Source organism: Homo sapiens, chromosome 2 (genome assembly GCF_000001405.40).
Source record: "Homo sapiens chromosome 2, GRCh38.p14 Primary Assembly".
Classification (NCBI taxonomy): Eukaryota; Metazoa; Chordata; class Mammalia; order Primates; family Hominidae; genus Homo; species Homo sapiens.
In genome coordinates this window covers 143572710-143584316 of record NC_000002.12, presented here as the reverse complement: position 1 = coordinate 143584316, position 11607 = coordinate 143572710, and the positions used below count along the sequence as shown (strand labels likewise).

Sequence of the window (11607 nt, the reverse complement as noted above, 5' to 3'; positions counted from 1 at the left end):
TATCCAGATTATATTGCAATAGCATGGCTATTCTCGTCTAGAGTTTTAAGTCTGCCAGAATGCTACAAATGAACAAATTGTGAATGTCTAGATACCTTGATATCAAAGAAGATTGGTCTTTACTGCTGATTATCTGGCCAGTTTTTCATCTACCCTGTTGGGACAGCTTTATTTCGGTAATTTTAGACACTTGCTTTCAGTGTTGTGAAACTGCAATAGAATGCATTTTAACAGTTCAAAAAACATGAATGGTTACTCTTGGGTGGCATTTTCTCATTCGGTATATATTAAATCTATCAGTCAAAGGAGAATGCAAACTAAAATGTTTCCATTTTAAAATTCCAAAATTTCCAAATTTACCTAGAAAAGTTTCACTTAATTTAGCTAAAAAGTAAAGTTTAGTTGAAATTGTGAGAAATGACAGAGGAAACTGGTTTTCTTAACCAATAAAATGCCTAAAAATTGGTAGTAGACATTGAACTATAAAATTAGTATTCTTTGGTAATTGGTTCAAATACAAAAACATAAAACCTCGGAGAACTCCCATTTACTCACAATTATTTCTGAATAAAAGTAGTTGTTTGTCAGTTCACAAGAGGTCTTCCAGACTGAGTTTAACTTGATCATGTTTAAATAAACTCACACAAAAATCTTAGAAATGTCCCAAACAGAACCTAACTCCCTACAGTAATTTTTGGTTTCTCTAAGAATTCAGAAGCATTGGCTTAAGCAAATTTCATTAGGGAAATCCACACCATCTACCTTTCTGACCTCTTCCACCCCCCCCATTTTTGTCTTTACGAATGCCAGCAATATCCATCATGAGTAACTCAACTTTCTATAAAAGTAACAGTTCGTAAAAATCTGTAAAACTACTACTGGGAACAAACAAATTAAACAAATGACAATGTTATACAATAAAACTGCTGTTGTCCTCTGGTAGAAGAATTGCTTCTTCTCTGGGACTAATACATCTTGCAGGAACAATTTTAAATAATATGTAACATATGGAGTCAGCTTTTATTATTCTTCTCAAAGAAGACAATTATATTTATGTGATAAACTGTTCAGTGTTGGTAGCATGATACTCATATTACCGGCCACTTAAATAATTCCTGACATGTTCCTATGTGGATCTGCAGCTCACTTCTCTTGAAACTCCTCTTACATTTTAAGCCCCATCTCTTAACAATGGCACTTATATGCCCCTTTAGCAAGATCAGGAGGGTGGCCAGCTGTACGTGAGACCAGTGGAGAAATGATTTCCCTGCACTAGACGTAGCCAATGTACACTCATCTCTCCCTTTCCACACTTCTTCCATCTACACAGTTCCCATCTGAGTGTTCCCATATCCCTGAAGAAAAGCTGGGACTCAACCTGAGCCAGTTCTTGGTAGAATGAAAGAAAAACAGCTTTCAAGATTTAGCTTTGCTAAAGGAACTATCAATCTGGTGTTAACCATGAAAAGTTTTTGAAGTATTGTCTCCTCCTCACCCATTGGCAAGCTGGTATGAGAAGTGTTTTATATGACTTTAAAAGAAGTCTTTGGGGAAAGAGAGATGCCAGTAGACATCTGCTGAGTTGCCTTTCACAATTCATCTAGAAATGCTTAATAAAAGTAGAAAAAAGTTTGTCTCCACATCTTTTAGTTCTACTGTTCCCAACCCACACAGACTTTCTGAAGGAGAGAAATGAATTTCCAAATTGTCACTTTGGCTCACTCATCGGTTGCCACTGTGTGTTTAGATAACACTTGTTAAAAAGTGATGGAGTTTGCTCTGCCACCTCATGCTTCTGTAACGAATCTCTTACAGAGTATCAGTTGGGGTAGGATTTATCAATGCCCCTCCTCATTGCCCCACAGAGTGAGTTGAATAATTCTAATAATCAAAAGCACAGAGTCTGCATCTAGTTTGGAAATGAAACCATGGGTAATTTTCAAAAGTAGTGCCCTCGATTTTTGATGAACTGTCACAGAAACAGGAATTACCACAATTCAGAAATCACATCCACTAACCGACAGAGATCAGCATCTGTGGATGATTTCTTCTAACCTACTACCCTCAAATTTCTTCCCTGCCCCCCTAATAAAAACACACCCTTTTGCCTCATGCTTCCAATTTAGTGCAATCATGCCTCTTACTGGCCATTGCCTTGCAGGACAGCAGCTGTCAAATACACAGAGGCAAGGTATGGGGGTTTGAAACATAAAGCCTCATAATGTGAAAGATGTGCACATCTTATATCACGTCTAATATTAGACTCCAATGGGGCTGCTCAGCCTGCAGAAGCAAACACTCTTCACATCATAGACACTTGAAATAAAAGAGTGCTAAATGGCACTTATCACTTTCCAGAGTCTTTAGAGATAATGTCATTCAGGAAAAGAAACTGACCTCTTCCTTCCTCCCTTTACCCTCCCCACCAATGAAATGATTGTGAAAGAGAAGCTCCAATCCTTGGAAAATTTTAAGCAATTGTCTTTGAAGATGAGAGTTTTTGCTCTTCCAAAGATTCTGGGAATGTGAAGTTGGGGGAGATGCCGGAGAATAGCGACAGAATGTGCCATTTCCGGAGTTGAGACAGCTAATTCCAAGTATAACCTACATTTTTTTCCTGTAACTCATTTAAGACCTATTTATTTACATTGTTGTACTAATCCCTTTGCCAGGCAGTAGAGGTAAAGGTAACAAGCCCTCCCTACTTGCTATTAGGGAATTCAAGCTCTCGAAGTGAGAAGGTAAATGATTATACAGTACTAAATGCTATGGCAAATGCATGGATAAAATGAAGGAAAACCAGAGGAGAGAAGGAGAGGTTGCCTCTCCCTGGGAAATTTAAGGACAGTTTCAGAGAGGTGATAACATATTAGCTTGATTTTGAAGGATGAATAAGAGATTTGTAGGTGGGTGTGGGGCTGTGGGGCTATGGGGCTGTGGGGTGGAAGGGCACTCCAAGATGTGACTGCAGTGTGGGCAATGACACATAGCCATGTACCAGCTGGCACAGCAAGTTGCTTGTTTGCCACAATGAGCCCAGTTCTCTGTAAAGTGAAACTATAAAAAAAATGCAGCTTCTCTAACCTTTATGGCATATTGAGACAAATGTCACTTGGCACTTGCATCTTCTGGCTTTTTGTGGAGCTAATTAGTCCATCGAGTATGCCTGAAAACATGGACGGTGTTCAAGCATACCTGTGTGAAGCTGGTTACCAATTCTGTGCCTGCAGTCAAGTTACTGATCACATTCTACCTCAGTTCCTTTAGCTTAAAATGAGAATGAAAATAGAACCTGCTAAGTGGGATTATTGTGATGATCACAAGATACTACTGTTCAAAACTTAGCACATACAGTACCTAGCCCATAGGAAGTGCTCAGTATATATTAGTTATCATTAAGACCATCATTATTAAACATCCATTATTTATAGGCACTTTCTTGCACAGCTTGAGGGTAAAAATATAAAAGTCAAATATGATCCTATCCATGAGGATCTAGATGGTTTTGGTTGGGAAGACAAGGCACAAGTGCATGAATTAGTATAAAGGGAAAATTACATATATTAATTAGAATTATGTACCAATATATTTGTAATGATACAGAAAACAAAAAACTAGGATATTTTAAAGTATTAAAATATTAAATATTTTAAGGTATTAAAATAATTGTGATAAAACGCATATTAAAATTTAAAAATACATCTAAAAGAAGGATGAGTAAGAAAATGAGCTGAATTCATCACAGGAACTTGGAACCTCAGTGGAGTTTTGAAAAATGGGCTAAGCAAGAGAATTTCGGGAAAAGAAGAGATCCAGAATACAGAATCTGTTGTCACCGGCAAGTCATCGAGGTGGAAATAAACATACCATTCTCTGCCTGTAATAATTATATTTGTCTGCAGGAGCATAAGATTCGTGTTGGGCGTGGGCTGGAAATAATTGGATGTGGTCAGCTTCTGGAGAATATGTTGACCTCTGGAGAAATTTATCTGGCTTTGGTACTAACAGATACAGGAAATCTTTAGTTAAATTTTGTCTTTTCATTTCCTATTTACTTGCAATGGCACAAATCTCTGAAAAAATTGACATATTAAATACTCGTTGTTGGGACAACTTCTTTCACCTGTCTTTAGCCCCTAATTAAGTCACCATTACATAAAATGAAGTAGAAAAAATTGTTCGAGTTTCTACTGCAATTTTAGAGTATGCCATAAGCCTGGTCTGTTGGGCTTATGTTCACATCATTGAAAATTTAGGGAGAATTAGAAATAAAAAGAACTTTTCTTCAGCTCTCAGTGTTCTTTCTTAATAAAACAAATGTTTTGAAGAAACATTTGTTTTATTAAGAAAGAACACTGAGAGCTGAAGAAAAGTTCTTTTAACCTGCACAATGTGCACATGTACCCTAAAACTTAAATAAATAAATAAAAATAAAAATAAAAAAATAAAACAAATGTTTCAGTGCTGGTAATGGAGAAAAAAAGCTCTGTGCAGGGAGTGCTGGAAAAGTTCAGAATCTTAATTCTTGCCCACTTAAAATTATACCCCCCAAATATTTATTAATAAGAAATCAAGCTTCATCTTCTACTTAGGAAGTTGCATGATCAGCACTATTCTTCCCTCGACAAAAAGATCTGGCTGATTTATACTAAGTGGGGCATAGCCTCTGGGCAGTCTTCCTGGAAACAGGGATGCATTTGAGTTGCTCCCTTTATTCTTTTTGGACGAGCTCCCCTCACGGTCGTGGGCACACCTATCTGAGAATGCTGGTCTGAATGAAGGGCACAATTGATATCCATGGAACAAAGAGCATCATTTATCCTAGGCATCCTACAACTATCCTAGAAACTCTGAGCCCCACCTCAACTAACTAAATGACGTTTTGCAAGGACAGAAAAACATGGTACTCAAATTTAAACAGATTCAAATGTAATGAGACAAAGTTAGGGCCTATGATTTTGAGCCAGCTACAAGTGTTCTCCTTGCAAACTTGTGTTTGAATTAGTTTTCCATTCAGTAACAAATACTAATCGCAACTTTACACTCTCTGATTTAACCATCCTGAGAAGTCGATGTACTTAGATGCTTCCTATCACATTTTAAATGCTCTCTTAAATATTCAAATTATATAATTATGCTTAATTATGCGATACATTGTATTTGAATACACAATCATAATACAGTTTTGGCATCATTGTCATCTTACAGCATTTGCCTTATTATGCTGTGGCATTTTGAGTATTTCTGATCAAACAGTATAAATGGAACAGGTTTTGCATACTTAGCATCTTAAAACCCACTTTAAAGAGATTTACTATCAATGTACATTTTCTGTTCAGCTGGAAAAAATAAGAACTTTGTAGTGTATATTATGAAATGTTAAATATTAATACTATTTAAAGTTAATGGTATGCCAAAGAAAATGGCTAATAATATATTATACAATTAAATGCCTATCATATTAGCTCATCTATTAACAAAATAAAATAGATTCAAACAGAAGAGTTCTGATTTGTAGTTTTTTTAGCAAGAGTTGCCCATGCGTAAAAACTAAATTATTTATTCAATTTTTAAACTGCTGGATACATCAGTTTGCAATTATTTGCATATTTGAATGCTTTGTCATGTGTCCCTGATACAACAAAAACAGTAAACAGTTTTCTCTTATTGAATAAAAGCATCTTCTTCTGCACAGGGATACCACTAAAAATGACCAAAATTATCAACCAAAAAACTACCCCCCCACCTTTTTTAAAAATGTATAGAGCGCCATTGGCGCTTTCTAGATGGCCTAGAGTCATCAAAGATTTCAACATTACTCTCCCTGGCCCTTTGCTGGATTGTATTTGCTATCAGGTCTTGGCAAGATTTTCATCTACATAATTCCACATCATTATTCTGGCCCTCTCAATATTTACCTTTGCCTGTTGAAAGTTAAATCTCTCATCTTTCATACTCCATGTTGTAATTTTCTATTAAATATCTTGGTACTTGAATGACAACATGTGCTTAGCTTTAATGATAGTTTTTTTTCTTTTCAATGTTGGTTGCCTAAAAGACCTTGAAAGCATGTGGTTTTTGCTCCTAAAACATTTCAAAGATTATGTATAAATGAAATACTCAGGACATATGAGGGTCCACACTTATACCTGAGCTAGCAAACCAACGTAACTTGGACATGATTACCCCTTTCCTGAACCAATCAATTGCTGTGAGGTTTATGTACATCAGCTCCCAAAGCAATTACTGAATATTTTTAAAAAGTTCCCAAAACTCTGCAAAATTAATTTATCTAAAGAGTTTTAAGCACGTTCAAAGACTGCTTGCAAGTAAGAGAATTGCCTGAGTGACATTTGACATCTCTTCTATCTGTACAGTCTGGCATTTTTTGTCTTAACTGTAAAAATTCACTTACTCGTTGTAGAGAGCATCTTATTTCTGAACATAGTGCACCAGGTTTCCTCTGGGGAGTATCCCCCTCCTTATACTGCAGTTCCTGAATTCTGGATGGGAATCTCCCTCTACCTCCATGTAGGGGGCTTGTTACCTTGTTCTAAGCCAATCAGCCCATTCTATTTCCTTAGCCACAGTGAGTGATTCAGGGATGAGTTAATGACACAATTTTGGTTAATAATAGTCAGGTGCTTTGGGAAAGGAGCTTCCTGAGGGACTAGAAGCAGGGATCATGTTGATCCAGAACTGCTGGTGGTCATTTTACAACCATGCAAAGCCTGAGTATGAAGCTAATGGGGAGGAGAGCAGAGCTGAGAGACCGAGAGAGGTTAGGCCTTACGATTCTGTTTAAGCTTCAGAATTTAGTTATGCTTGAAGCTGCATCATTTCCTGATTTTTCCAGTTACATAAAGGAAAAAAATCCTTTGGTTTTTGTCCCTTAAAATCAGAAGAGTCCTAACTGATTCACTTGTATGTTTTATTTTCTGCTTTGTTTCCCTAATGGTGCTGAGTTTTCCAGCTGCAGCATTCTCATATCTTGAAAGATCAAATATGTAAAGAAATCGAAAGTCAACATTTCTTTACAGTCCCCAGTGAAGGGGATTACATTTTAGCTCGTATGAGGAATGGTACACGAGTGTGTTCAAAGTCAACAGATGACTTAAGTCAAATATTGAAATGTGGTGCAGATGGTAGGTTTCATCTATTTTTTCAGGGCCTAAGAATTTGTCTTAATGAAAATAAATCTCACCAACCTGAGCCCAAAGTAAGTGAAGGTAAAGTGGGAAGACTTTACTTATACATTCCATTGTAGATGTTCTCTCTTTCAAGTGATTTGCTTTTATTTTCAAGTGATTTGCAATTAGGAGGATTAGTTTTAGCTATAGTTTGATGACAGCTTTGTAGACAGAAAGATAGTCTATATGGTCATCAGCTAAAATCATTAATTGGGCTGGGACATTTCTTCAATGGAGGATTACTTTGGACTTCCTTTCATTCCAATAGAAATAACCTCAATCTATGAACTAGAGTCAACCAAAATAGTTTAGTCATACTTTATATCAGAAAGAAATTTAGTCAGTGGGTGAAAAAGAGGTGGTAAAATTGTTAAGTAAAATGTGACTTTTTAATCTAACTCAACTCCCAGAGTTCTTTTTTCTTTATCATATAATCCTCCCTTCTTCTGATTCTTCTGATATTTCCTGTTCTTTGCTGTATTCCATTAAAGGTATGCTAGGTTATATGATGTCCTACCAGATTAAAAGATTTGTGTTCATGATTACGTCGATAGAGTGTAAGACTCAGATGTTATTTGTATAACAGTCAATTTTTTCTTAATCCAATATCTTAAACCGGAAACATAAAGTGCATGGTGTGCATATTCAGGCACTTGGTTTTTTCTTTTTAAATAATATCTGTGCCATACATTATTAATGTGATCCATTATGGATGGATCACAGAACTCTTTCCCACTTATTTAGGACAATGTTTCAGTATCCTTCTTAACACAACCATCTGGTCAGTCACCAAGAAACAACTGTATTTAGTATAAGAGGTGAAATTATTTGTCTTTCCTGCCTCAGCCAATGAATTGATTTTCAAATTGTGGCATCTCAGGCACAGTGAAATGCTGGTGGGAAATTATTTTGTAAAGAATTCCCTTCAGTGGCACATAAGCATCCACCTACACTGCTGTCAAATCAGGTTAGTCCATGAGTATTTTAAACGTAGTTAAATAAGAGATAGAGATTTGGGTGTTAATGAACAGTGCTTTTTATAATATCATTTGAATATGGATATACTCAGTGACCTAAGTGAGTTTGTGTTCCACCTCCTCCGGTTTAGATTATTTATAAAATAATTCAGGGCACTTCTTTGTCAGAATAACACATTCCTTCCATCTAGAGAAGGCTAAATTGAGTATTCCACTCTCTGCCTTTTTCCTTCCCTTTTGCCCCCAGAATAAGACTATTAACATGGAAAGCAAAATACAGGCACTATTAGAACGGTATCATCTCTTATTTACTTCACAAAACAGAATACAATATGGGTTGCTGTGAAATACAAATGAACTGTAATCCTCATCAGGTTTGGAAATAATGGATTCAGGCTAACATTTCCAGAAGAAATATGAAGGCAGTATTTTAAATTTCCTATTCTTTCCCAAATGAGTTTGCACAAAATGTGTCGCTAAGAAGAGTAATGTGCCCATCACATAGTGAAATTTCCCACTTGCAAAATGAAAATGAAAAGTCTGCATTTTAGGATGGTGTATTTAAACACATGCACCATGCTGTCCTTACAGTAGGGAAAAGAAAGCTCCCCCTACTGGGGCATAAAAATGCCTCCTCTCTTTCCTGCACCCCATGGCTGTGTCATATGCAGGAAGGCGCAGAAACATATAGTCTTCCCCTTATCCCTCACAGAATCCTGGTTCTCTCATCAAAACATTACATTTTCCTCATTTTAGTTAATTAAAGGACAGCTGGACGTTTCATTATTGCACCAGTCTCAGCTCTGTCTAGTTGAAATGGGGCATATAAAGGTCTTGGTCCCAAAGACATTTTCACCAGAGATAAACAGTTTTAAAATCCATGCCTCCAATGGAGAAATTTGAAAAAGTAGTAAAAGTAATCTTTAAAGTGTACACATATGTGTGTCTGCGCACAGTTTTTACAACACACAAGTACTTACACATATAGGGAGAGTGAAACTCAGCAAGGTAAGAATTTTCACTAGAGAAATATATATACATGTCAGAATGAAGAAATAGATTTATGTGATTTGCGAGTTGGTATTAGTGATCGGATATTAGCATGTATTGGAAAATCTCTAGACATGTGAAACTCAATATGTGTATCTATTTTACTCTGTAAGCATAAAAAACTAATGTAAATGTGAGAAGTTTAGAGATTTAGAGGCATAGCCAAACTAAAGATAAAAATAATTGTTCCCATGACAATACGTAAGGTAACACATTTTATCCAGAGGGCAAAGAGGTTTACACTGCAAAGGATTCTAACGAAAATTTTCCTCAGAAGACATTTCTAAGCTTTTATAGTTGAAGTGTTTGCTGTCTACAGGAAAAAAATAAATCTATAGTTAACCAAACCTAAAGATATTTCTACCAATTCTAGCTAATGGGGGCATGGCCAAGAGGCTATTTAGCATGTTCCCTATATTTTTTCATGCTTTTACTGCCACTGGCATGAGACACTTTGGGGACACTCCCTGCTCGTCATAACCAAGTGGGCAGCCTTTATCAATAGAGAGGATTCGAACAACTGTTGCCTTCAAAATAGGTTTAATGAACAGTTCCCCATTTTCAAGAAGACGCTCATATTTTCATCTTTTTTATTATTATTTTTTAATTTTATTATTATTATACTTTAAGTTTTAGGCTCTTTTATCTTTTGAAATAAATCCTAAAGACTGTGGCTCCTTGAGAATCAGCCAATAAACAAGGCACTCTAACATTCTCTACCCATTTGAAATGAGCAAATGACCTGCTTCCAAAGTAGCTTTAGGCTCTTTCTACAATAAGGAAGGTCTTTGGGCTTTGTATATTGGAAACTTGGGTAGTCAAGGTTGCCACCTCTTAGAAATCTGAGGCATTACACTCATGTTGTTTTGCAAACCACACTGATTAGATTTTTGACGAGATGATTCCAAACTCTAAGGGATGTGTGTGAGTGAGTGTCAGTGTGGCTGCAGAGGTAGAGATCAATCATAGATGTTCTTTGCCCCTTCTCTTGTCTCCTTTAATAGGTTCAGGTACCACTATTTTCAGATACAGGTGATTTCGTTTGGCTACAGTCTAGAAACCATCCTTGGTTAGAACCTCCACTGATAATGCACATTTTCAAGAAAGTAATACAAATAGTCACAGACTAAAAATAATTCATATTTTTTTCTCCTCTCAATCTTGATTTTATTAGACATAAAATATAAGAGAGGCAACCTTTTCTAGAAATGGACCAAATATGAACCTGAACAAACATGGATAGGGGAAATATATACATCAAAGATTTGTCACTCGTTTCCAACAACTAGAACTGGGTTACCTCTTGTAAAGGAAGAGTGCACCTCCAAACCCACTATACTAGGTATACTGGATCCCATAAAATTTCCAATTACTGCTTCAGAATTTATTGTGCACATATGGAAAATAATACTTGTAAAACAGAAAGGGGTTTGTGCCTTGTGCTGTCAATACTGTGAAGGATGGGGTGATTATAAAGCAAATTAACAATACTTTTAAATGTGCATTCACTTATCTTTCCAATTAAATCCTTGTTAAACAACTGCACAGACAGTAATGGCGCTTCTGCAAAGCACTGATCAAGACAGTTTTATTGTAATTTTTACTCTGTAACAATTAATCAAGTCGGCATTTTCTTTATTATTAAATTATTTAGTTAATAAATATTCTGAATTGGCTAACATATTTGTAGTTTACATGTTATTTTTGATTTTCCTAGAGTGGAACATATTTGGGAGTATTTTCGTTTTCTAGCAGAGGGACCATTAATGGATGTGATTTTATAAATTTCTTTTCTCTAGAAGAACAAGAGAAGTCCTTGAAACTTTAAGCCCTTTAAAAACCTTATTTCAACCATTTTATTTTGTAAGGGATGCAAAACACATTGCTTTTAGCAGATAAGAAATGTGAAGTTTTGCTTTAAGGCATCTTTCTGTTGGAGTAAGCATTAAAATTAGCATTTTAAAAGTTCATTAATACCAGTTACAGACTTTTGAGTCATGAAGCTGCACTGTAGTTAGCATTTCCATTTCTCATCCCAGTAAAATGAAAAGTACCTGAATATTGTTTCTTCTATAAACACACAAGATGGAATAAAGAAACAAATATAAAGGTATCTAGAGGTATTTTTTTAATTTATGAATTTCCATTTTTGTAATCTAGAGATTTGAATTTATCTAGCTAGTATCTTTTACCACTTTTAAAGTGCTTTGCATGGTTCTCAATATGGCTCTTTGTGTTTTGGTTGTATGTTTTATCTTTTAAAATTTTTATTTAGGAGGGATTCCTACATAACTAGATTAGCAGTGAGAGTAGTGGTCTCAGAAATCACGCGTGGATTTAGGATTCAGGATGGCTATATTAATTCAGAAGTAAAAATACACATATGACAG

At 35.8% G+C, this 11607-nt stretch overlaps 1 protein-coding gene across 11 annotated transcripts in view; it reads right to left on the bottom strand.

The window, feature by feature from the left end:
* ARHGAP15 (Rho GTPase activating protein 15) overlaps positions 1–11607 on the bottom strand; it is a 638934-nt gene that overhangs the window by 184036 nt on the left and 443291 nt on the right. The window contains exon 11 of one of the 11 annotated variants that reach the window (XM_047445113.1): positions 182–210. The exons of the other annotated variants lie outside the window; for them this stretch is intronic. Coding sequence (XP_047301069.1) covers positions 197–210 — 14 coding nt within the window. The 3' untranslated portion in view covers positions 182–196. Of the gene's footprint in view, positions 1–181; positions 211–11607 lie in introns of those variants that run through there. 11 annotated transcript variants of the gene reach the window in all.